The sequence below is a fragment of the Homo sapiens genome, chromosome 9, assembly GCF_000001405.40.
Source record: "Homo sapiens chromosome 9, GRCh38.p14 Primary Assembly".
NCBI classification, from domain to species: Eukaryota; Metazoa; Chordata; class Mammalia; order Primates; family Hominidae; genus Homo; species Homo sapiens.
In genome coordinates, this window is record NC_000009.12 from 137,423,049 (window position 1) to 137,447,317 (window position 24,269).

General features: G+C 61.3%; 3 protein-coding genes across 18 annotated transcripts in view, besides 6 other annotated features; 1 reads left to right on the plus strand and 2 right to left on the minus strand.

Moving 5' to 3' along the window:
- Window positions 1–114, minus strand: part of EXD3 (exonuclease 3'-5' domain containing 3) — a 116,267-nt gene extending 116,153 nt beyond the window's left edge. For all 8 annotated transcript variants that reach the window (NR_104598.2, NR_104599.2, NM_017820.5 and 5 more), the window contains exon 1: window positions 66–114. The gene's annotated coding sequence lies outside the window, so the exon portion shown is untranslated. The remainder of the gene's footprint in view (window positions 1–65) is intronic.
- Window positions 16–575: a silencer, noted in NCBI's record as "silent region_20621". NCBI's record gives its function as "represses an Ori minimal core promoter by ATAC-STARR-seq in GM12878 lymphoblastoid cells {active_cell/tissue: GM12878}" and the evidence as "EXISTENCE:reporter gene assay evidence [ECO:0000049][PMID:35858748]".
- NOXA1 (NADPH oxidase activator 1) lies at window positions 345–11,358 on the plus strand. 8 transcript variants are annotated; one of them, NM_006647.2, is made up of 14 exons: window positions 345–658; window positions 3,200–3,282; window positions 4,985–5,093; window positions 5,834–5,968; window positions 6,228–6,335; window positions 7,736–7,795; window positions 8,027–8,052; window positions 8,188–8,293; window positions 9,981–10,026; window positions 10,157–10,215; window positions 10,405–10,559; window positions 10,702–10,816; window positions 10,917–11,031; window positions 11,155–11,358. In NM_006647.2, the coding sequence occupies exons 1-14, from the start codon at window positions 482–484 to the stop codon at window positions 11,310–11,312; spliced, it is 1,452 nt and encodes a 483-aa protein (NP_006638.1). In that variant the 5' UTR covers window positions 345–481; the 3' UTR covers window positions 11,313–11,358. The 8 variants fall into 8 exon arrangements, with proteins under 8 accessions (NP_006638.1, NP_001242996.1, XP_011516460.1 ...); NM_001256067.2 differs by having other exon boundaries at window positions 11,176–11,358; XM_011518158.4 differs by lacking the exon at window positions 6,228–6,335.
- Window positions 5,854–6,608: an enhancer, noted in NCBI's record as "H3K27ac-H3K4me1 hESC enhancer chr9:140323354-140324108 (GRCh37/hg19 assembly coordinates)". NCBI's record gives its function as "activates a minimal SCP1, AML or CMV promoter by ChIP-STARR-seq in primed H9 embryonic stem cells {active_cell/tissue: H9 hESC(primed)}" and the evidence as "EXISTENCE:reporter gene assay evidence [ECO:0000049][PMID:30033119]".
- ENTPD8 (ectonucleoside triphosphate diphosphohydrolase 8) lies at window positions 11,316–18,309 on the minus strand. 2 transcript variants are annotated; one of them, NM_001033113.2, is made up of 10 exons: window positions 18,238–18,309; window positions 15,112–15,257; window positions 14,919–15,036; window positions 14,111–14,261; window positions 13,821–13,980; window positions 13,473–13,703; window positions 12,965–13,228; window positions 12,671–12,781; window positions 12,156–12,290; window positions 11,316–12,057 (listed from the first exon to the last, which is right to left on the minus strand). In NM_001033113.2, exons 2-10 carry the CDS (start codon window positions 15,235–15,237, stop codon window positions 11,866–11,868), a joined length of 1,488 nt encoding a protein of 495 aa, NP_001028285.1. In that variant the 5' UTR covers window positions 15,238–15,257; window positions 18,238–18,309; the 3' UTR covers window positions 11,316–11,865. The 2 variants fall into 2 exon arrangements, with proteins under 2 accessions (NP_001028285.1, NP_940987.2); NM_198585.3 differs by lacking the exon at window positions 12,671–12,781.
- Window positions 12,997–13,251: a silencer, noted in NCBI's record as "fragment chr9:140330497-140330751 (GRCh37/hg19 assembly coordinates)". NCBI's record gives its function as "represses an EF-1alpha promoter that drives an FKBP-Casp9 reporter gene in an ReSE screen in HepG2 liver carcinoma cells {active_cell/tissue: HepG2}" and the evidence as "EXISTENCE:reporter gene assay evidence [ECO:0000049][PMID:32094911]".
- Window positions 12,997–13,262: a biological region, named in NCBI's record as "ReSE screen-validated silencer GRCh37_chr9:140330497-140330751".
- Window positions 13,213–13,262: a silencer, noted in NCBI's record as "silent region_20622". NCBI's record gives its function as "represses an Ori minimal core promoter by ATAC-STARR-seq in GM12878 lymphoblastoid cells {active_cell/tissue: GM12878}" and the evidence as "EXISTENCE:reporter gene assay evidence [ECO:0000049][PMID:35858748]".
- Window positions 18,169–18,463: a silencer, noted in NCBI's record as "tiled region #12030; HepG2 Repressive non-DNase unmatched - State 4:PromP, and K562 Repressive DNase matched - State 4:PromP". NCBI's record gives its function as "represses a minimal TATA promoter and a strong SV40 promoter by Sharpr-MPRA in HepG2 and K562 cells {active_cell/tissue: HepG2 | K562}" and the evidence as "EXISTENCE:reporter gene assay evidence [ECO:0000049][PMID:27701403]".

Consider the following 24,269-nt stretch of genomic DNA (forward strand, 5'->3'; position numbering starts at 1 on the left):
CCGGCCCCGCTCTGCCCCCGGCGCCCAGACCGCCCACCTGGCCCGCGCGGCCCGGGGTCGCTCACCTGCGGGGCCGGGACCGCCCCACACCGTCCACGCCCGGCGCGGAACCTTGGCCCGACCGCAGCCGCTGGCCCGGAGGGCTTTATCCGGCGCACCAAGGCCAGCGCGGGCGGGGCGAGGAAGCCGGGCGCACAAAGCTCCCGGCGGAAGTCCGGCCGGGGCGGGGGCCGAATGGGAGGTGGGCGAGGCCTGAGGGTCTGGAGTGGGCGTAGCCGTTTCTGGCGGGGGCGTGGCCTTACCGGGGAGGGGCGGGCGCCTGCCGCCAGGGGGCGCCGCGGGGCAGCGGGGTTGCACCTGGCGCTTGGCGCCCGCACCTCTGCCCGCCTCGGAGACCCCGCAGCCCCGCGCCGCCGCCTGGCCCCGGCCCCGGCCCCTCCGCGGGATCCTGGCCCCTCCTCGAGCGCCGCCACCGGCCGCCATGGCCTCTCTGGGGGACCTGGTGCGCGCCTGGCACCTGGGCGCGCAGGCTGTGGATCGTGGGGACTGGGCCCGCGCCTTGCACCTCTTCTCGGGCGTCCCGGCGCCGCCCGCCAGGCTGTGCTTCAACGCGGGCTGCGTGCACCTGCTGGCCGGGGACCCCGAGGCCGCGCTGCGGGTGAGCGGGGCGTGGGGAGGCCGGTGCGGGCGACGCCTCCGCCTCGAGCCCCTGGGGAGGGCCCAGCGCCCCTCCCCGACCGTCACGGGGTCGCCCTGCCGCCCCCGACCCAGCGAACGCCCCGGCAGGTGGGAGCCGAGCAGGGGGGCCGCACCTGAGCTAAGCGAGGCCGCGCTGGGGGGCGCGGCGGTCACCGGGAGAGGCCGGGGCCCGAGGGTGACTCACACCGGGAAGGGGGAAGCTGCTGGGCTGGGTCAGGCCCGAGGGACCGCCCTGCCCTAAGGGGAAAGCGTTGCGCCTGTGGTCATGGCCGGGAGACCGGGTCAGTCTCCTCCTCAGAGCCCTCAGCCCTCCCCCAGCCCACTCCCCGAAACAGCCAGGAGTCCAGGGTGCCAGGGTGCAGCGGCCGAGGCCCTGCACGGAGCCCGGTGCCCTTCTCGTGCCCCCTCGCGTTCCGGGGCCGCCTGTTCCTGCGCATCCCAAACGCCAGCGCTGCCCACCCCCGCTCAGTCCCAAGCACCCCGCAGAAGCAGGCAGGTGCCCACGGTTACTGAAGGCTCGGTGACAGCAGTGATTTAAAGGAGAGGGAACTGCGCGCTGTGGGAGGGTCTCCACGCCCCTGACTGGCAAAATATCCCCCTTGGAGGAGACTGGGCAAAGCGCATGAGACCCCCCTCTCTTGTGTCTTAAAGCTGCGTACAAATTTACAATCACCTCCATAATGATTTCATTTTTTTGTTTGTTTCAAAGATGGAGTCTCGTTCTGTCACCCAGGCTGAATGGAGTGCCGTGGCCCAATCTTGGCTCACTGCAACCTCTGCCTCCCGGGTTCAAGCAATTCTCCTGCCTCAGCCTCCCTAGTTGCTGGGAGTACAGGCGCCCACTACCACGCCTGGCTAATTTAGTATTTTTAGTAGAAACGGGTTTCACCATGTTGGTCAGGCTGGTCTTGAACTCCTGACCTCAGGTGATCCACCCTCCTCGGCCACCCATAGTGGTGGGATTACACATGTGAGCCACCTTGTCCGGCCCACAATGATTTCATTTTAAAATGTTATCCAAGAAAGGGAATGTAATCTTTAGACACCAGGTGGTTCAGCAACAAATCCTATGTCCGGGGCTAACCCAGTCACTTGTGCTCTTGTGCCTGGTTTCACTACAGAGAGGGGACGCAGTGAAAGTCATACGACTAACCCACAGCATATGCATGTTAGGAATATGGGAACTTAGGAAAGCAGATGGAACAGCTATGATTCATAAAGCCGATCACGTGAGGGGCAGCCCAGGGTGCAGAGGGTGTCGCTGGAACTGCTGTCTCTTGTTAGGAGCCTTGCGTGACGTTTGGGGCAGACAGGTGGGTTCTGCTGGCCCTGAGCCGCCACCCCACATCAGGGCTGCGTGCCTGTGCTCAGCCGCCACACTTCACACCTGTGTGAACTTGGTTCAACGACAAGCCCCCACTCAGCCAGATTTGTGAAAGAGACCGTAGCACCCTTCCTGTCACACACATTTAACTGATGGCCACGGTCCCTGTTCAGAACCTTCTGTGTCCTCCTGAGTCTGGTTTAAGGAAGAGCTGTGCTTTACACACAGATAAACACATGAAGACGTGTGTTGTTCTTTCTGATTCTAATAGATTTCTAGGGTGTCATTTTGCATGAACTATCAAAAAAGGATTTTTATTTTATTTATTTTTTGAGACGGAATCTCGCTCTGTCTTGCAGGCTGGAGTGCAGTGGTGCGATCTTGGCTCACTGCAACCTCTACCTCCCGGGTTCAAGCGATTCTCCTGCCTCAACCTCCCGAGTAGCTGGGACTACAGGCGCGTGCCGCCATGCCCAGCTAATTTTTGTATTTTTAGTAGAGATGGGGTTTCACCATGTTGGCCAGGCTGGTCTCAAACTCCTGACCTCAGGTGATCCGCCCACCTCAGCTTCCCAACATGCTAGGATTACAGGCGTGAGCTAACATGCCCGGCCTGTAATGCAGTTCTTTAGCTGCTGACTCTGGGATCTGGACTGCGTTATCTCGTCTCCAGTATGTGACAGCCAAGGTTGCCTGAGGTCAGGAGTTTGAGAATGTCTTGAACCCAGAGGCGGAGGCAGCAGTGAGCCAAGATCGAGCCACTGCACTCCAGCCTGGGTGACAGAGCGAGACCCCGTCTCAAAAAAAAAAAAAAGGATTTTTAAAAGACAAAAATCTTGCATAACCCCACTCCCCAGAGGTAACTATTATTAACATACTGGAACACTTTTTTCTGGCCTCTGTCCTTGTGCTCATGGTAAACACATTGGTTTTAGCAGCACCTCAGTGGGCTCTGCGCCTTGGACGGGTTGGGGTTGGGTGGGCTGTGGCAACCTGAGTGGCGACAGCCCTGCCCAGGCAGGGGCTCCGAAGGTTCCTGGACAGGAGCAGGAGGGGCTGTGGGGGGTCCCCAGGGGCTGACGGAATTCCGTGGCCCTGTCACCCATCACGCTGTATCTGTGATGCTGCGTGACCAGGTTACAGACCTTGGCATCCCGTGGGCATTTTTGTCCCCAGGCATTTGACCAAGCCGTGACCAAGGACACCTGCATGGCGGTTGGCTTCTTCCAGCGAGGAGTGGCCAACTTCCAGCTGGCAAGGTGAGTACAGGGGTGCCTTGTTCCTTCTCTGACGGCCCTTTGTCTCCCTGCAGAGTCCACTCCTGCACCTCCTCCTCCTCCCTCTCCATCCACTCCCTCCTCTTGCCCACCCCCTCCTCCATGGTTCCTGGCTCCAGGGAAACCTGAGACTGTGGCCCTCGCCTCTGCTGAGCGCCACCCTTGGACACAGGTCGTGGGGTCCTCACTGCTTACCTGGGCTCTCTGCACCATGTCCCTTCCTAAAGGAGGAATGAGGGAAAGGAGACCATCGGGACTGCAGACCAGGCCATGCCTCGGCCTCTCTGCTAGACACTCACAGGCCCCATCCCAGGAGGGCAGGCTCTGTGGGGAAGTGGATCACAGTCCCGAGAGCCTCGCAATCCTGAAATATCAAAACCCCTCAAATCTAAAATCCCAAAAAATATAATTCTAGAAAAAATAAAATTCTGTAAAAGATATTTATTTACTTTTTAAAAATTGTTTTGAGAAGGAGCCTTGCTCTGTCATCCAGGCTGGAGTGCAATTGTGCGATCTCGGCTCACTGCAACCTCCGCCTCCTGGGTTCAAGCGATTCTCCTGCCTTAGCCTCCCGGGTAGCTGGGATTACAGGCATGTGCCACCACGCCTGGCTAATTTTTGTATTTTTAGTAGAGACTGGGCATCACCATGTTGGCCAGGCTGGTCTCGAACTCCTGACCTCAGGTGATCCACCCGCCTCGGCCTCCCAAAGTGCTGGGATTACAGGAATGAGCCACCTCGCCCAGCCTATTTACATATTTTAAAGGGATTTATTTGAGAAACATAAAAACACGACGGAACCCTTCATTGGCCGATAAAATAGACAAAAATAACATACATATTTTTTCAAGCACAAATTCATGCACGCTAGCGACAGGCTCACGGGTGTGAGAACTACGAGCAGATGAACAGTGCTCATGAGGAGCTAGGTCAGAAGGGGTAAGACGTAGGTGCGTAGACTCTGGCTGGTGACTGTGTGCACCTGGCTTTATAACTGGTCATCAAAACACCAAGATGAACAACCCACCTTCTAACAAGATCCATCAAAGGCTTCAGGGACCACCACATACGCAGTCGCCCAGAGAGCCCGGATCTGGAGATATTTTACCTTTCAGAAAGGCAGATGAACGAAAAAGCCATCTCTTCCTTTACTGAAGAGTCCCAGCATTCGGGATTATGGCTGTGGGACTGTCCCTTTCTGGATTACGATCCAGACCCCTCTGGGGCAGCCTCTCCTTCACATCGGCGCGGGAAGCCCGCCTGGAGGAGAGGCCTCTCCGGCAGGCGCTGGGGAGCTCCCAGCAAGGCTTGGAAGGAGGCTCAGAGTTTGGAGGGGGAGCCCCCATGGGGTGGGGGGCCTGAGAAGCAGGAGGGAAATAACCAGGGCTCTCTGCACGGTTCAGAAGAGAGGCTTGGGGGCGGGCAGGGGCCCAGGAAGCTGAGTCTGAGCTGGGAAAATGGTGGAGCCCCAGCACACAGTGACCCCCACACCCACTCAGCACACATGTGCATGGACCCCTGGCCCACCAGACCTGAGTGTGCAGACCTAGGCACCGCACTGCCCTCCCTCAGGTCTCCTTGGAACCAGGTGTTGGGGGCGGCTCGAGCGGGGCTGGTGTGAAAGCTGCCTAACCACAGCCCCATCTCCGCCCTGTGCTGCTGAGGGGACCCCGGCTGCCCACAGGTTCCAGGAGGCTCTGTCTGACTTCTGGCTGGCCCTGGAGCAGCTGAGGGGCCACGCTGCCATCGACTACACGCAGCTGGGCCTGCGGTTCAAGCTGCAAGCCTGGGAGGTGAGGCCGGGCAGGGCTCACTGTGCTGCTGGCTGTGGGGTGTCCACGGGCGGTGGCACTGTCACAGGAGGGCCCTGTGGACTGGGGAGCGCCTCTGGCCGAAGCTCTTGGTGCCATGGAATACCCTGGCCACTCCTTGACCCGCAGGAGGTTCTGGTGGCAGTGGAGGTGGAGGGACCATTTTGTGCCATTTCAGGCCACCAGGGGTGGCTCCACCCAGAAGGAGGGCAGAGGCGAAAGGCTGCTGGGTGGGCAGGGAGCAGGCAGGGGGTTGTGCCCACCCTCCACTGTGCCCCCAGCCCTTTCCTGGCTGCCTGGAACGTGTTGGCACCGAAGGAGGGGTGCTGAGAGGCCCCCCCACCAGACCCCGGAAATGCATCGCCCTGAAGCCTTCTGGGAATAGCATTGTCTTTTAGGACAAAAAGATGGAAGGGAAAGCCCACTGGTGTGGGTCTGGAGTCAGGGTTAAAGCCAGGTGGGGGCCCGCCAGCCCAGGACACAGAACGGTGCAGGGGAGGGGCCGGGTGGGGGGATTGGGAGAGGAGCTGGGTGGGGAGACGGGGGAGAAGCCAGGTGGGGGGACTGGGGGAGAGGCTGGGTGGGGGGATGGGGGAGGGGCCAGGTGGGGGGACTGGGGGAGGGGCTGGGTGGGCAGACCGAGGGAGGAGCTGGGTGGGGGAACCGGGAGAGGGCCTGGGTGGGGCATCAGGCCCCTGCCATCACCTTGGCCCCACTCCCAGGTGCTACACAATGTGGCGTCGGCACAGTGCCAGCTGGGGCTCTGGACAGAGGCGGCCAGCAGCCTAAGGGAGGCCATGTCCAAGTGGCCGGAGGGGTCCCTGAATGGCCTGGACTCAGCCCTGGACCAAGTGCAGGTGAGGAGTGCCAGCCCGGTCATGGTTTTGGGCTGGTGCCTACCAAAGCTCCTCAAGACCAATTTCATGAGATGAAGAAGCTTCCGGAGGGAGATGGCCCTAGTGCCCAGTTTCGGGTGCCAGGCGGGGGCTTCCTGTGACCTGCGGGAAGGGGGTGGGGGGCCCAAGCGGCCCCTTCTGCTCCAAGGCACAGGGGCTCTGCGGCTGCAGGCCTGGTTGGTCACCCCGTCTGCATCTGCTGGATACCCACCCCCTCCAGAGACGGGGCTCACTGCCGCCACGGCAGGTCCCCAGGGGCGAGGTCTTCCGGCCCCACCGGTGGCACCTGAAGCACTTGGAGCCCGTGGATTTCCTGGGCAAGGCCAAGGTAAAGGTGGGGACGGCGTCCTGGGGCATGGCGGCTGGTGCTGAGCCCTCGAACTGTGTTCCCAGGGATGGGGGGAGGTGCAGTCCAGGCCACCGTAAGGGCCAGGAGGGTAGAGAGTGGGCCCACAGCCATCCTCAAACTGGCGCCCACGGTAGGGGGGCGGTGCCCCAAATGGGGCTGTGAGCTTGAAGGCAGAGCCCACTAGAGCCGGCTGCATAGGAGGGGGCTCCAGCTCTCTCAACAAGGACCCTGCAGGTGCCACCCCGCCCCCAGACTGGGCCATGGCCACAGCCACAGCCTTGCAGCCTCCCAGAGTCCCTGCGTCTCTCTGCGTCCTTTCATGCCTTTGTGTCTCCCTGTGTCCCTGCCACAGACAGCGAGGTCCCGGGGGGGTCCCTGCGTCCCTGCCACAGATAGCGAGGTCCCGGGGGGGTCCCTGCGTCCCTGCCACAGATAGCGAGGTCCCGGGGGGGGGGGGTCCCTGCGTCCCTGCCACAGATAGCGAGGTCCTGGGGGGATGCCTGTGTGCCTGCCACAGATAGCGAGGTCCCCGGGGGGGTGCCTGTGTCCCTGCCACAGACAGCGAGGTCCCAGGGGGGTGCCTGTGTCCCTGCCACAGGTAGCGAGGTCCCGGGGGGGGTGCCTGTGTCTCTGCCACAGCTAGCGAGGTCCCGGGGGGCGGGGGTGCCTGTGTCCCTGCCACAGATAGCGAGGTCCCGGGGGGTCTCCCTGTGTCCCTGCCACAGATAGCGAGGTCCCTGGGGGGGTCCCTGTGTCCCTGCCACAGATAGCAAGGTCTCACGGGGGCAGGGGCTGCAGTCCGACGGTCTGGGCCACGTCACGCCCACACTTGGGTCAGAGCCAGGCAACACCCCTAAAGTCACAGGAATGGGGAGCTGCTCACCCCCAAAGGCAGCGGGCGAAACATGGCGGAGAAGAAGAACTCCTGGTGGGCAAAGACTGGGTCACCCTTGGCTGGCCACGCCCCGGACTGGCCACGCCCCATTGGCTGGCCACGCCCCCTCGGTCACCTGCGCTGCGCCACGGCCGACTCCTGGGCCCAGTGCAGCTGCCCAGCAGGGGAGGCCTGGGGTGGGCGAAGCCGGGCTCTGAGCTGTGTTAATGCATTAACTTAGAGTCCGCATATCACAGTAGAGTGCTGTTTATAAGAAACCAAAATGTTTTTAAAGTTGTGCTAAAAATAAGTTAACATTGCAGCAGATGTTTTTCTCCATCAGACATTTCCCTCCATGGTGGTCTGGCAGACGTGGGCCGGGCATGGGCAGCTGTCACCCAGCCCCCGGGGACTTAGAGCTGCGGGGCACGGTGGGGCGGGCTGCAGGGAGCAGACCCTGCTGGGCCGCTGATCCCTGACCCAGCGTCCCCACTGTCCCCGCCAGGTGGTGGCCTCTGCCATCCCCGACGACCAGGGCTGGGGCGTCCGCCCTCAGCAGCCACAGGTGGGTTTGCGGCCCCTCAGACCCCTGCCTGGCCTCACCCAGCTTTCTGGGAAAGAAAATGCTGCACAAGCTCTGAGCCCTCCTGGGGCTGCGAAGTTCCTCTGATGGGAGGTGTGGGGTGGCCATCCCATCCCTGTGTAAGACCTGGGGAAACCACTCTTCAAGGTTCAGGAGGAGGGAGGGCGGCCCCCGACCCTTAACCAGAGCGAGGTTGTTGCTTTGTGTCCACAGGGACCAGGAGCGAACCATGATGCCAGGTAGGAGGGGCTGACTGGGCCCTGCGAGCGCGTGCCTTTCCTGCTGGGCAGAGGCCCTCCACATGGGGCCACGCGGGCCGGGCACAGGAGGGCAGTCAGATGGGCAGGGCCTGAGAGCCTCCCTCCTCTCCCTAGGTCCCTAATCATGGACTCCCCAAGAGCTGGCACCCACCAGGGCCCCCTCGATGCAGAGACAGAGGTCGGTGCTGACCGCTGCACGTCGACTGCCTACCAGGAGCAGGTGCGTGGGCCTGGGCCTCTTCCCCTGCTGGGGGTCGGTGCTTCTGCTGCCTCCGCAGACTGGGGACCACAATGGGACCAACATGAGGGTGGAGGGAGCAGCTCGCTGGGGGGTAGACGGGGCCGGGCTCACCCGTGGTCCTGGCCCAGCCCAGCCAGATGGGAGGATGCCTGGCTGTGCCCGAGGCGAGTGGGCATTGGCCATCAGGACAGGAGAGAGGTGGTGTCCAGTGGAGACATCCACGTAGCCCTGCAGGCCCTCAGCCCCCAGGACCACCTCAGTTTGGCCATTGCCCCTCCCCTCCCACTGGGGTGCGAGTGACCAGGAGTGACCCAGCTGGGGACAGGCGGGAGGCAGGACAGCTCTGGAGGGGCCCCAAGGCTCCCGCCCCCCATGGGGGCCCAGCAGCGACTCCATCCCCCGAGTCCTCCCGGACACCCCGGCACCTGGGGAGAGGCGGAGGAAGGCAGGAACCCCAGCTGCTCCCAGGGTGGCAGCCGTGGGCGGAGGCTCTGCTGCAGGATCCGGGAGGCCCAGAGAAGGCACCTGCATTTCACGCTGAGCGCATCTGAGGATGCGATCAGGAAGCAGCCCCGGCACTCTCTCTTTATGGATGCCCACTTCCAGTTTAACCGTGGCATCCCGGGGGCAAGGGCGCCCTCCAAGCTGTGCTTCACTAATTCCCTCAGGGTTTGGAACTATTTGCCCAGTTCCCACGATGGGCCTTTAAGCTCTCGTCCTTCCTAACCTAAGGCAACTTCAACCATCTGATAAATCTAATAATAAGTTACAATCGAGGCCGGGCACAGTGGTCTGTAATCCCAGCACCGTGGGAGGCTGAGGTGGAAGGATTGCTTGAGCCTGGGAGGTGGAGGCTGCAGTGAGCCATGACAGTGCCACTCCACTCCGGCCTGGGCAAGACAGCAAGACCCTGTCTCAAAAAAAAAAAAAAAAAAAGCCAGGCGAAGTGGCTCACGCCTGTAATCCCAGCACTTTGGGAGGCCTAGGCAGGCGGATCACAAGATCAGGAGATCGAGACCATCCCGGCTAACATGGTGAAACCCTGTCTCTACTAAAAAATACAAAAAATTAGCTGGGCATGGCGGCGGGCACCTGTAGTCCCAGCTACTCAGGAGGCAGAGCCAGGAGAATGGCGTGAACCCAGGAGGCGGAGCTTATAGTGAGCCAAGATGGCGCCACTGCACTCCAGCCTGGGCGACAGAGCGAGACTCCCTCTCAAAAAACAACAGCAATGCCTGACCCTCAGGGTCTAGCCAGCGCTGGGCTGTGACTTTGTGACTTGCAGCTGGTGAACTGGTCTCCTGCTCAGTGCCCAACTCAGGGCACACGGTTAATGTCGAGCCCACACAGAGGCCGGGGCCCAGGGACTGGGTCCTCAGCTTCCTGGGGTCACTGGGGAGCCCACCCACCTGGAGCTGCCACCTCGGTGGGCCTTGGGGGACGGGGCGCTCCCTCCTGGTGACAGGCAGCCTCTAGGTCTGCAGGGACCCAGCCCCATCCTAAGGCAGCCGACTTGTGGCCAGTGCCCTGAATTCAACACCCACAGACCACCTGCTGGGTGCTGGCCGGGCACACAGGCCACACCCTTGGTGTGGGCTCTGCGAGGACAGTACCGGCCTCCAGCACCTGACCGCCCCAGCCCACCCAGCCTGTGCTTCTCTTGCAGAGGCCCCAGGTGGAGCAAGTTGGCAAACAGGCTCCTCTCTCCCCAGGTATGGGCGTCCTCAGCGGCGGGGTCCCCGGGTGAAGGAGGAAGCTGCTGGTGCATGGGTGCCGGCTGCCCTCCACCCACAGGGCCCACTTTGGTGGTAGTGGCTGTGTCAGTCTTGCTCTGTCCTACAGGGCTGCCGGCAATGGGGGGGCCTGGCCCCGGCCCCTGTGAGGACCCCGCGGGTGCTGGGGTAAGAGGCTCTAGACCCTTCACCTGTCAGTCACCTGAGGGAGGCTGAGGCCAAGCCCCATCCCTCAGAATCAAGGCTTGCAAGCCCCCCTCACCTGCCCAGTCTCTGTCCACACCCCTCGGGCTGAAGACGGCCCTGACCAGGCCCTGGGCCTCAGCGACCACCCCTCCCCCTCCTGCCTGGACCCAGGGAGCAGGTGCAGGGGGCTCCGAGCCCCTGGTGACTGTCACCGTGCAGTGCGCCTTCACAGTGGCCCTGAGGGCACGAAGAGGAGCCGACCTGTCCAGCCTGCGGGCACTGCTGGGCCAAGCCCTCCCTCACCAGGCCCAGCTTGGGCAACTCAGGTGGGCCAGAAAGCCCCCGGTGGCTGCGGTGGAGCTGGGCACCGCCCCGACTGAGGCAGCTGCTGGAAGAGGGGGTGGCAGAGGTCACTGCCCTCCCTGCAGGCCCCACCCAGGAGGCCCCCTCTGAGGAATCTCTTTGCAGTTACCTAGCCCCAGGTGAGGACGGGCACTGGGTCCCCATCCCCGAGGAGGAGTCGCTGCAGAGGGCCTGGCAGGACGCAGCTGCCTGCCCCAGGGGGCTGCAGCTGCAGTGCAGGGTGAGCCAAGGGCGAGGCAGGGGCAGGGGCACCCTGAGGGGCGGTGGAGGCCCCTCCTCCCAGTGCCCGGCCCGACCTGCAGCCCACTCTCCTGCCTCAGGGAGCCGGGGGTCGGCCGGTCCTCTACCAGGTGGTGGCCCAGCACAGCTACTCCGCCCAGGGGCCAGAGGACCTGGGCTTCCGACAGGGGGACACGGTGGACGTCCTGTGTGAAGGTAGGGTGGGCATGGCCCTTCCCAGGCAGCACCGTGGTGCCCGGGGTGTGGGGGGCTTAGAGCTCGGCCTGTGCTGTGAGCAGACGTGGCACCCAGAGGCCACGCCTGGGTAACGCCCTGCAGAGCCCGATGTCCCCCTTGCAGTGGACCAGGCATGGCTGGAGGGCCACTGTGACGGCCGCATCGGCATCTTCCCCAAGTGCTTCGTGGTCCCCGCCGGCCCTCGGATGTCAGGAGCCCCCGGCCGCCTGCCCCGATCCCAGCAGGGAGATCAGCCCTAATGATGCTGTGTCCATGATGCTTTTAATAAAAACAACCCCCACTGCAGTCTCACCCTCCAAGTGGGTGTGGGAGGCCGGGCTGGCCCAGCAGAAGCCCCCAGGCCTGGACTCCATCCATCTGCTCAGACAACAGCAGGGAGAGCGGGGGTCCAGGTGGGGCAGCTCCCTCCCTTCCACCCCTCTCCGCCCCTCCTGAGGCCCCATCAGGAGCAGGACCCCTGTGCCTCCGTGGTCTTGCCCTGTTTGCAGGCAGCATGTGGCCCTGCAGTCACACAGCCTGGAGACACCACGAGTCCTGGCGGCCTGTGTGCAGAAAGGCACCTACGGCCCTGGAAGCCCAGTTGCGGAAGGAGGTTGGGGGAGGGACGCCGGGAGGGGAGGTCATGCAGCCTCTGTGGCCAGCACCACCCTGACGGTGCCCTGGAGGTGGCTGTCACCTGACCGTGGGCAGAGCCACAGAGCAAGGCCCCACGGCGCTCAGGGCTCAGGAAGCCTCCAGCATCCGGGACGCAGCTGCCTGTGGGCTCTGTGGGGGCCCACCTCCGCCTTCCCACTAGTCCTGCAACCAGAAGAGCTGGACCAAGGCAGCCCCCACCACCGCCACCAGGGCCAGCACCATGAACACCACTTTGGCCACCCAGACGCCGTAGCTCTCTGCCCGCCACTGAGCCGGCGCATCGGCCGGGATCATCCCGGTCAGGTTCAGCATGTAGCCCAGTGTCCAGCCAATGTCCACACCGCCCGCCTGCGGGACACACGGCTGCTCAGGGCTGCGGGGCAGCTACCCCAGGACCACGACCTGCCCACGCCCACGCCCCGCCCACGCCCAGGGGAGGCAGTCACCTGCTTTCGGAACTCGAGGCTGGGCCAGGTCTCCTCGCTGAACCCGTAGCCCTCGTGCAGGAGGGTGAGGATGTACAGGCCTGAGGCACAGTAGTCCCGCAGCCAGCGGTCCTGCCCAGGGTAGCTGGCCTCCACCTGGGGCCCAGGAGACCAAGAGGCGAGGTGAGGGCCCCTGATCCCCAGTCATGCGGGGACCGCCCCATCTGTCCTGGCCAACCTGAGCACGCAGACAACAAGAGGGTGCCGGGCAGTGGTAGAGAGCCCCTCCCTGGCCCCACCGACCAGTTACGTGGTGCGGGTTGCGGCCCCTTCTTGGCGGGCCAGAGGCTGGGCCCAGCTGCGGCCGTGGCCACAGCCTCCTACCTGGAGTGGCACGGCCTGGAGCTGTCCTCTGCCCTTGCCTCCCCCGGCCCTGCTGGCCGTGCTGCCCAGAATGAGGCTCCAGCATCCTGCCCGAGGCAGCCCTGTACCCTCAGGGACCCTCGCTGCAGCCAGGGAGCCCAGGGCCCACCCACCAGTTTCCAGGGCCTCTGGCAAAACTCCCAGATGGTGGCGTTGACCGTGCTCAGGGGCTGCCTGGAGGTGAGGTTCAGGAAGTGGAAGGTGTAGTAGAAGTTGGAGAAGGCCTGAGTGAGAGGGGAGGTGGCTGTGCCTTCGCTGTGGCCACGCTGGGCCAGATCCACCCCACCCGGGCTCCCAGAGCCCCTAAGAGCCAGCCTGGGCCCCTCCTGGGCCTGCTGGAGTCAGACAGGCACCTGAGGCCTCACAAGGAAGCCCGGACCCCTGGTGGGGGCAGTGTAGGTGCTCACATAGAACTGGCCCCGCAGCGGGGGCTGGTAGACCCCGTCAAAGGCGCAGTCCTCCTGGCCCTGGCAGCTGGAGAAGTTGAAAAGTTCCCGGATGGCTGAGACGCAGGCTCCAGGGTTGCCTGTCCCTTCAACTGTGAGGTTCTGGGGGAGGCTCAGCGGGGGCGTGGCGTGGACACAGGGTGACTCATACAGCGGGCCCAGGGCCAGTGTGGTCTGGTAGCCGCTGAGGTAGCACGGGTGACGGAGCAGGGCAGCCGGGCGGCTCTGCAGAGGGCAGGGAGGCCTGAGCACCAGCCGCACACCTGCGGCCCTGTGCCCCTCCCCGGGGCCGGATGACCCACGCCAGCCCCGCGCCCATACCCTGTGCGCCCTCCCCGGTGCCGGATGACCCACGCCAGCCCCGCGCCCATACCCTGTGCCCCCTCCCCGGGGCCGGATGACCCACGCCAGCCCTGTGCCCATAGCCCTGTTCCCACAGCCCCATGCACCCTCCCCAGGGCCAGCTGACCTGTACCAGCCCCACGAGGAGCCTGCTCAGCATCTGGTCCCGTCCAAAGCACAGGTAGCTGTGAGTGTAGACGCTGTAGTCGGAGCCGTAGAGGCGAAAATCGGCCTGGGTGCTCTTGTCCAAGATGGGGCCCCCAGGCACGAACGTGATCTGGGTGGAGGCCCCTCCCATGTCCAGGGCACCCACCAGCATCTCCTCCGGAGGCTGGATCCATTCTCCAGTGAAGGAGTACTGGGCACAGAAGGGGCCACTCAGCTGGGAGCAGCCACCCGGACCCCGTCCCGGTCAGCCAGCCCCAGACACCAGCCCCTCGCAGACCAGCCCCCGCCCTCAGGCAGCCTGTGGCACCTTGACCAGCGTCCCCAAGCCGTAGTTGACAGTGATCCAACCAAAGGCACCTTCGGCCTGCCCGGCCAGGAGCTCGGCACCCCAAAAGTCCACGGGAGACCGGCCCAGGACCTGGGTGACTGCTGCAAAGATGTCCCTGGCCTGAGAGCTGTTCTTCCGGCTGGGCACAGAGGACCAGGGGCTGGAGCTGGCTGGAAGCCTGGGCCCGGCCCCACCCTGCCTGCCACGCTGGCTGAGACCATGGCTTCTGCAGCCACTCCCCGTGGGTGCCAAGGCCATGCCTGCCTCACCTGAGCAACCTCATGCCAGCCGTGGCCCCCAGGAACGTGGGTGTTTTCCGATGCTGGGCCTCTGGGATCAGCACCAGCGCCTCCTCCAAGCAGCCCTGCAGGCTCTCACCAGCCTGTGCAGCATTAGAAGTGTAGGAGGAGATTCCAGGCCCTGGAACAGCAGCCGGGGACAGAGCTCCAGACCCCGCAGGCTGGCTGGGCTGAAAGGTAGCCCCCAAAGACATGACCACCTCATGCCCCCTGGTGCAGCCACCAGCCAAGGGCTGCGTGGAGTGCTCAGGCTGAAGGAAGCAGGAAGGACCCTAACCCAGAGCCTCTGGAGGGGGTGCGGCCCTGTCCACACCTTGTTTTCAGACTTCTAGAATGCTGAGAAATAAGCTGCTACTGTTTTAAGCCCCCAATTTGTGGTAATTTGTTACCAGAGCCCCCAGGAAACAAATTCGGGGCCTCCTGTTTTCCCCTCTCAGGATCCTGGAGTGCAGGCACCCCTGTAACTACCAGCCTCGGCTGCCAGCACCACGTGGTGCCAGGGTGGGGAGCACCAGGGGCCAGAGAGGGTCAGGGCTGGAGGCAGCAGATGCTGGGCAGACCCAGGCCAGGCCATGAGAATCTGACTGCTCACCAGGATCAGGCAGGGAGGTCCCCAGAGTGCCACCGCGTGAACGCAGGCTCCGGCCCAGCACCCATGCCCGGCGTGTGAGCTCAGCCAAGTCACTGAACCTCTCCAAACCCTTTCCGTGCAGCTGGGAATCCCAGCCAGGCAGCAACAGGCAGGTCCCAGCACCGGGCTGCAGAACAGCCCACTAACCTTCCACCTGGCAGGCCAGGGCCTGGCTGACCACACCCGTGCCATTCTCCTTGTTCGCCAGCCACTGATACAGGAAGAGGGACGTGTGGGAGGAGCCCGCATCAAACACGATCCCAAACTGGGGAGACAGTGGGATGAGTGGGAGGCAACACCTGTGGACCCGGCCCGGCCTCCCCTGCCGGCGGGGACGCACCTTGATGTCTGTGGGCAGGAGCACGCTGGTGGCCTCCACCAGGAGGAGAATGAGTGCCGTGAGGCCTGAGACCCCCGAGGCCCCCAGCAGGGCCAAGAAGACCTGCTCCTTCCGGGACAGCCCCATGGTGCAGGTGGTACTGGTTCCTGTGGGGGGACGGCCGTGGGCACCCAGGCTGCACTTGGTGTCCCCATCCCGCCCTCCAGAGGCAGAGGCTTCGCTCCCCGTCTCCCTGGAGACGCACCCCTGGACAGCCACTTGCCTTAGAGGCATCTCCGGGGCTCAGACGCCTCCCGTGGCCATAGAGGCATCCCCGGGGCTCAGACGGTCTCCCGTGGCCTTAGAGGCATCTCCGGGGCTCAGGCGGCCTCCCGTGGCCATAGAGGCATCTCCGGGGCTCAGACGGCCTCCCGTGGCCATAGAGGCATCCCCGGGGCTCAGACGGCCTCCCGTGGCCATAGAGGCATCCCCGGGGCTCAGACGGTCTCCCGTGGCCATAGAGGCATCCCCGGGGCTCAGACGCCTCCCGTGGCCAAGGACCACTCCCCAGGAGCCACGCCTGCCAGGGGTGCCATGGGCATCAGAGGGCCCTGTGGGAGGGGGGCGGGGGGCAGCAGAGGCCTCGTCTGGGGACACAGCCCCAGCAGGATCCAAGTAGCCCCCTCGGACCCCCTCGGATGGGACTCGCGGAGCTGCCCCCACCATGTGATGGGGCCACCCTGTGTCCCCACCCCTCGGTCCTGCCTCTCCCGTGCCACCCTCCCCAGGAGCAGCCACAGCTCCAGCCTGCACTGGGGGCCCAGGGCTCTGCCTCCTCTCTGCGGCCCCCACCCCAGGCACTCCTAGGGTGGGGGTTTCTCTCTGGAGCCCTGAGGGGACTGTTGCCGAGGGGCTGTGGGTGAACCCAGGGTGAGGCCAGCCATCCTAGGAAGCCGAGTGTGAGGCTTCTTAACAACATCGGTTTCTCTGGAAATCCAGCCCAAGGCTTCCCTAATCTGACTCTGCACCTTCTTAGCTGGTGCCAGATGGCGCCTGGTCGGGAGGTGGACCCAGGGATGCCATCTGAGGGGCCTGGGCTTCTCTAGCCCTGTGGCCGAGGTGTCCACCTCCTCCTCTGCCCAAACGCCCAGCAAGGGTCTCAGCTCTCAAACTACCCCAGGCCGACCCTGTGCCCCATACAGCCCCACTTCACACGGGTACCACTGCCAAAGGAGTGGTCAAAGCCAGAGGCTGCCTGCCAAGGTCCCGGCACCTGAACCCCATGTGACCGTGTCCTATCGTGTTCCCCCGGGAAACGTTGCACCCACACTGAGTGGCAGGCGCGGGTGCTGCCCTGGTCCTGACCTGGGGCTCCTGGGCACGTGGAAAGTGGGACACGCTGTGGGGTCCTCACGCAATTCTGTATGTCCGGGGGATATAAGCCCATTTTAAGGAGGGTAGATGACAGAGGCTCAGAGAGGACAGGAGGCCGGTCCAGCCCAGACAGGGCCCAGCCTGTGTCCCCAACCAGCACCCAGGCCATAGGCCACCTCATAGGGACAAACAGGTGACAGGGGCCAGGAACACAGGGACTCCACACCCAGAAGATGTAGCCACCTGAGACCCCCAGGCCTGAGCCTCCAGGTAGGCAAAGAGGTTGGGGCAACCTCTCCCACACTCAAAAGACCCCCAAGACCAGAACAGCCTCCCAGATCAGAACAGCTCCTCAGACCAGGAAAGCGCCCCCCAGACCAGAACAGCCCCCCCGAGACCAGGACAGTGCCCCCAGACCAGGAGAGCCCCCCAGACCAGGACACCCCCTCAGACAGAACAGTCCCCCAGACCAGGACAGCCCCCCAGACCAGGACAGCCCCCCCCAGACCAGGAGAGCCCCCCAGACCAGGACACCCCCTCAGACAGAACAGTCCCCCAGACCAGGACAGCCCCCCCAGACCAGGACAGCCCCCCAGACCAGGACAGCCCCCCCAGACCAGGACAGCCCCCCCAGACCAGGAGAGTCCCCCAGGCCAGGACATCCCCTCACACAGAACAGTCCCTGAGACCAGGACAGCCCCCCCAGACCAGGACACCCCCTCACACAGAACAGACTCCCAGATCAGGACAGCCCCCCAGACCAGGACAGCCCCCCAGACCAGGACAGCCCCCGCCAGACCAGGACAGCCCCCCCCAGACCAGGAGAGCCCCCCAGACCAGGACACCCCCTCACACAGAACAGATTCCCAGACCAGGACAGCCCCCAGACCAGGACAGCCCCCCCCAGACCAGGACAGCCCCCCAGACCAGGACAGCCCCCCCCCAGACCAGGAGAGCCCCCCAGGCCAGGACACCCCCTCAGACAGAACAGTCCCCCAGACCAGGACAGCCCCCCAGACCAGGACAGCCCCCCCCAGACCAGGAGAGCCCCCCAGACCAGGACACCCCCTCAGACAGAACAGTCCCCCAGACCAGGACAGCCCCCCCAGACCAGGACAGCCCCCCAGACCAGGACAGCCCCCCCAGACCAGGACAGCCCCCCAGACCAGGACAGCCCCCCCCAGACCAGGACAGCCCCCCCAGACCAGGACAGCCCCCCAGACCAGGACAGCCCCCCCAGACCAGGACACCCCCTCAGACAGAACAGTCCCCCAGACCAGGACAGCCCCCCCAGACCAGGACAGCCCCCCAGACCAGGACAGCCCCCCCAGACCAGGACAGCCCCCCAGACCAGGACAGCCCCCCCCAGACCAGGACAGCCCCCCAGACCAGGACAGCCCCCCAGACCAGGACAGCCCCCCCAGACCAGGACACCCCCTCAGACAGAACAGTCCCCCAGACCAGGACAGCCCCCCCAGACCAGGACAGCCCCCCAGACCAGGACAGCCCCCCCAGACCAGGACAGCCCCCCAGACCAGGACAGCCCCCCAGACCAGGACAGCCCCCCAGACCAGGACAGCCCCCCCAGACCAGGACACCCCCTCAGACAGAACAGTCCCCCAGACCAGGACAGCCCCCCCAGACCAGGACAGCCCCCCAGACCAGGACAGCCCCCCCAGACCAGGACAGCCCCCCAGACCAGGACAGCCCCCCAGACCAGGACAGCCCCCCAGACCAGGACAGCCCCCCCAGGACATCCCTTTGGACCCTCACCTGGGCTGGCTGCCCACTTCCCGGAGCGGCAAGGAGGAAGCTGTGCTTAGACGCTTCTGTGTCCGCGCACCTGGCGTCCAGCCTCTCCCTGCCCCTGGGTCCAGGACAGCTGGGGTGGGCGGGGCAGGGCGGTGACAGCCTCGGGCGATGCGCTGTGCACCTGGCTCCAGGGCCCGCAGGCTGAGGCCAGCGCCCAAGGTCGCCCCGCCCACTCCACCCTCGGGTCCCCCGCCCAGGGTCTCCCCGCATCTCCCACCCGCGGGTCTGTCTCGGTGCCCAGGGTCGCCCCGCCCCCGGGGGGGTGGGAGGCAGGAGAGGGAAGCTGAGGAGGAGCCTGGAGCTGCGAGGGGCAGAACTCCGGGACCCCGCCCCCCACGGCCCGCAGCCGCGCTCCTGACCCCGGCCCGGACTTTACCCCCCGTGCCGCCCGGCCCGGGCAGGTCGGAGTCAGGTGACCCCGAAGGTCCAGGCCCGGGGCGGGGGCGGAAGCGCCTGCAGCCCCGCGGCGCCCGTCGTTTTCCATTTGCAGCCACTCTGCCTTTCCCGCTCGCCGTGGGTCCCGGGGCCGCCGCCGTCGGGGTCCGGGCCTCTGAAGCGGGGCGGGGCTGGGGGAGGCGCGGAGCCAGGGCCGGGCTGGGTGGGGCTGGGGGTGTTGGGGGGCGGGGAATAGGGTGGGGGAATGCGGGGGGGCGGTGAATTCCTTTCTGTGTGAGATCCAAGAACCCTCTTGGGGTCTCAATCGGGACTCTCTTTACTGGTAGCATATTTGGTGTCATGTGTGTGCATTTTTGTGCTTTTTCTTGGTGATTTCACTGTTTATAATGGCGTCTCAGCATAGTGCAGAAATGCAAGAAGGCTGAGATGCACTTTACAGAGAAAACACACATTGGATAAGCTTCATTCGTGCAAGAGTTAGCGCTGTTGGCCATGAGTTCAATGTTAGTGATACAATACATATTAAGTAAGGTGCCCTTAAACAAAAATACACATAAAAGAAGGTTTTATTAATATATTGATCATTTAACAAAAATGTGACCAGAAGCTTGCAGGAACAGAACTTTGCATTTCCCTTAGGAGCAATAGTTTAGCATATTCTTTAATTCAGTGTTTGCAGCAACTTTATACACTAGCTGCCATGGGTCATAAGAGTCAAATGTGTTTGTTGAGGATTTTTGCAGTTGTGTTCAACAAAGTTGCATAGTTTTCTTTTTTAGTCCTGGTTTCTGTATGGGGATAATGCTGGGCTTATAAAATGAGTCTGGGAAGTTGTCCTTTTTTTTTTTTTTTTTTGAGATGGAGTCTCGCTCTGTCACCCAGGCTAGAATGCAATGGTGCAGACTTGGCTCACTGCAACCTCCACCTCCCAGGTTCAAGCGATTCTCCTGCCTCAGTCTCCGGAGTAGCTGGGATTACAGGTGCCTGCCACCATGCCTGGCTAATTTTTTGTATTTTCAGTAGAGATGGGGTTTCACCATGTTGGCCAGGATGGTCTCAAACTCCTGACCTTGTGATCCGCCCACCTCGGCCTCCCAAAGTGCTGGAATTACAGGCGTGAGCCACCGCGCCCAGCCAGCTGTCCTTGTTTTATTTTGTGGAAGGGATTTGAAGAATTTGTATTAAATTTCTTCTTTAAATATTTTGTATAATTTGGTGGTAAAACCATCTGAGCCAGTACTTTCCTTTTTAGAAAAGTTTTAAAGTACAAATTCAGTTTCTTTAATACTTAATAGGATTGTTCAAGTTGTCTATTTAATGAGTTTTGGTAGTTTGTGGCTTTCAAGGAATTGGTCCATTTCACCTAAGTTGCTAAATTTATGTGACTACAATTATTCATAGTACTTCCTGGTTATCCTTTTAATGTCTGTAGGGTCTGCAGTGCTAACCCTCCCATTCCTCATATTGGTAATTTTGTCCTCTGTGTCTCTCATCAGTGTTGCTAGCTAGAGGTTTATCCATTTTATTCATCATTTCAAAGAACCTGCTTTTTGTTTCATAATTTTTTCTTTTTGGTTTTTGAATTTTTAAATTTAATTTAATTTAATTTAATTTTTTTGAGACGGAGTCTCTCTCTGTTGCCCAGGCTGGAGTGCAGTGGCCGGATCTCAGCTCACTGCAAGCTCTGCCTCCCAGGTTCACGCCATTCTCCTGCCTCAGCCTCCTGAGTAGCTGGGACTACAGGCATGTGCCACCACGCCCAGCTAATTTTTTGTATTTTTAGTAGAGACAGGGTTTCACCGTGTTAGCCAGGATGGTCTCGATCTCCTGACCTCATGATCCGCCCACCTCGGCCTCCCAAAGTGCTGGGATTACAGGCGTGAGCCACCACGCCCGGCCGGTTTTTGAATTATTTTAATTCTGCTCTTACTTGTATTTCCTTTCTTCTGCTTGATTTGAGCTTATATTGCTCCTCCTTTTCTGGTTTCTTAATGCAGAAGGTTAGATTATTGACTTGAACCTTTCTTTTTTTCTAATGTAAGCATTTGTGCTATGAATTTCCCTCTTAAGCACTGTTTAGCTATCTCTCTCAATTTTTGATATGTTGTATTTTCATTTTATTCAGTTAAAACATATACATATATATAAATTTTTTTTTTTTGAGACGAAGTCTCACTCTGTTGCCCAGGCTGAAGTACAGTGGCACAACGTAGGCTCACGGCAACCTCTGCCTCCCAGGTTCAGGTGATTCTCCTGCCTCAGCCTCCCCAGTAGCTGGGATTACAGGCATGCGCCACCACACCCGGCTAATTTTTTTGTATTTTTAATAGAGACAGGGTTTCACCAGGTTGGCCAGGCTGGTCTCGAACTCCTGAACGCAGGTGATCCGCCCACCTCGGCCTCCCAAAATGCTGGGATTACAGGCGTGAGCCACCGGGCCCAGTGGCAGGATCATAGCTCACTGCAGCTGTGAACTCCCTGGCTCAAGCAATCCTCCCTCCTTAGCCTCCCAAGTAGCTGGGACCACAGGCATGCACCACTGTGCCCGGCTGATTTTTGTTTTTGTTTTTGTTTTTAGTAGAAACAGGGTTTCACCATGTTGCCCAAGCTTCTCTCAAACTTCTGTGCTCAAGTGATCCATCCGCCTCGGCCTCCCAATGTGCTAGGATGACAGGCGTGAGCCACTGGGCCCAGCCTTTGCTGAGACTTTCTCTTCTGACATTTTAAGTGCTCACGATGGCTCAGTTAGGCACCGCTATAATAGCTACTTTAAAGTCTTCAGGCCGGGCATGGTGGCTCACACCTGTCATCCCAGCACTTTGGGAGGCCAAGGCAGGAGGATCACTTGAGGCCAGGAGTTCAGGACCAGCCTGGTCATTCCAGAACCACCACTGGGGGGCATACGTGTGACTAGACCAGAGGGTGCCCCAAAATCTTGGAGAAAAACTGACCTTGGACCAATAGCCACTGAGGCTGAAACTAAAACAGCAATGTTCACCATAGGATAAAAGGAAGACTCCGAGTCTCATATTAAGTAAGATTCAAAACATTACAAACCAGGCCAGGCGTGGTGGCTCATGCCTGTCATCCCAGCACTTTGGGAGGCCAAGGCACGTGGATCACCTGAAGTCAGGAGTTCGAGACCAGCCTGGTCAACATGGTGAAACCCCTGTCTCTACTAAAAATACGAAAAATTAGCCAAGCGTGGTGGTGGGTGCCTGTAATCCCAGCTACTTGGGAGTCTGAAGCAGGAGAATTACTTGAACCCGGAAGGTGGAGGTTGCAGTCAGACGAGATTGTGCCACTGCACTCCAGCCTGGGCAACAGAAAGAGACTCTAAGAAAAAAAAAAAAATTACAAACCAGAATTCCTCCACACCCAAAGAACTGTGAGAATCCTGACCAGCAGGGAAGAGGCCATCAGCAGACACCAAGGTTGAGAAGGCGTTGAAATGACAGAAAGACTGACAAAATCTGTTTTTTAAAATTTTACTCATTTAAAAATTTTTTCTTGAGACAAGGTCTTGCTCTGTCACCCAGGATGGAGTGCAGTGGCGTAATCTTAACTCACTGTAGCCTTGAATTCTCGGGCTCAAGTGATCCTCCTGCCCCAGCGTCCCAAGCAGCTGACACCACAGGCACGCACCACCACCACACCCCATTAATTTTTTTTTTACTTTTTGTAGAGACAGATATTCGGGCGCCCCCAGTCTAGCCACACGTATGCCCCCCAGTGGTGGTTCTGGGAATGACCAAGGTTGGCTGCTGAAGTCAGTTGTCTGGGTGAGTCAGAGTGAGACACACAGACACACTCACAGGCACGCCTGAGGGTTGGGGGGCGTTGGGGGTGGTTTTTGGGTACTTCTCAGCTCCTGGGCTCCCCAGACCTCCCTTCCCAGCCCTCAGGCCAGAAAGCAGGGGTGACAGAGCGCACAGAGACGTGGGAGATTTGGCAGCGGGAGGGGAGCTGACCCGCCTGCCTGCAGGCACCAGGACAGGTGCAGGGAGCCATCGGGGCCATCTTGCCCCTTTCAGGGACAGGTTTTATGTTTGCTGTCTCCTGCCCCCACAGAGGCAATGCTAACAGCAAGGGTGTGACCGCCACAGCTCCCTCCACCATTCCGATCATGTCTACATTATTGATTCCTGCTCACGGGGGTTTTACCTTACAGACAGGAATCACACCTCTGCTTGCCCTTAGACACTCCTGCACCCTGGCGGGAGGTCTCCACACAGCCCCCAGACCACACCCCAGGTCTCAAGGGTGGCTGCTCTGCTGGGTGCACATCCGGCCACGGGGCCACCCGGGGGGCCACTTGGGGTTGTGTAGTGAGCGTGGAAGTGCAGACCTGGGGGTCTGCACTTGAGAGCAGGGCAGGCAGGTCGCTGGGGCAGGCGGGGGCCTCCCCCGTGCTGTTCCCAGCCTGCCAGGTAGTCACGAGAGTGCATCCAGGCAGGTGGCAGGAGACATTGCACATCGATGTGAAGCGTGACCCAGTCACTTGGAACAGCTGGACCTGTTGCATCTTCCTCCTTAGCAATAAGCCTCGTGAGCATCGGATCCTTCCAGAAAAGCCATTGTGCGATCGGGCCACACCCAGATTAGCGGGCACAGCACAGCGGGGCAGTAGACACCCTCAGAAAAGGTGCCAGGGGGCGGCTGGGGCTGGACGGGCTTGTGCACTCATCAGTCACACTACTTTTAAGAGCTGTTACCAGATTACCTTAAAAAAAAAAGCTGTAACAGGCTGAGGAGGCAGGAGGATTGCTCGAGGCCAGGAGTTTGAGACTAGCCTGGGCAACAGAGTGAGACCCTGTCTCTACAAAACATAAAAGAATTAGCCAGGCGTGGTGATGCCTGTAGTCCCAGCTACTCCGGAGGCTGAGCGGGTGGGAGAATCGCTTGAGCCCAGGAGGTCAAGACAGCGGTGAGCCCCAGCCTGCGCGACAGATCAAAACCCTCTCAAATTGAAAAGGGGGTTACCTCGTCGCTTTCATTGGCCTTTCCATGATTCCTGATGGGATGAGGACTTTCTTCATGGAATTACCAGCCAGTTTCCTGCTCTGCGAATGATTTCTCCACATCTCTGCTCACTTTTCCATATCGGTTTTTGTCATTTTCTTTAGCAACATATAAAAACTCTTTAAATATTAAGGACCTTAATCACTCCCATGTGTGGCAAATATTTCTTATTTCTTCCCCAACTATTTCTGGCTGCTGCTGTTTTTGTATTTCAAGGGAGGCGAGGGCGGGTGCAGCAAAGTAGCCGAGGTTGCCCTGGTCACCGGCCCCCCGCCCTGGCCCAGCCTGCCTCCACTTGGGGCCACCTCCTTCCCCGTTGGCACTTCTGCGTCTGCTCCTGTGGGGCCACCTCCTTCTATGTCTGCTCCTGGGCCTGCTGGCTTTGACGTGTCTTCCTCCTTTCACTTCCCCCGGTGGTCATGGCATGAGGAATGGAACCTCATGGACCATACATAAGGCCCCCCAGGCCTTACTCACTCCAGCAGACCCTACGGACCGGACTGTGTGGGACAGGCATGCGGCTGGCAGCAGCCCCAGGAGCCACCTGACGGGTTAGGACTGCAGGGTCCCTGTGG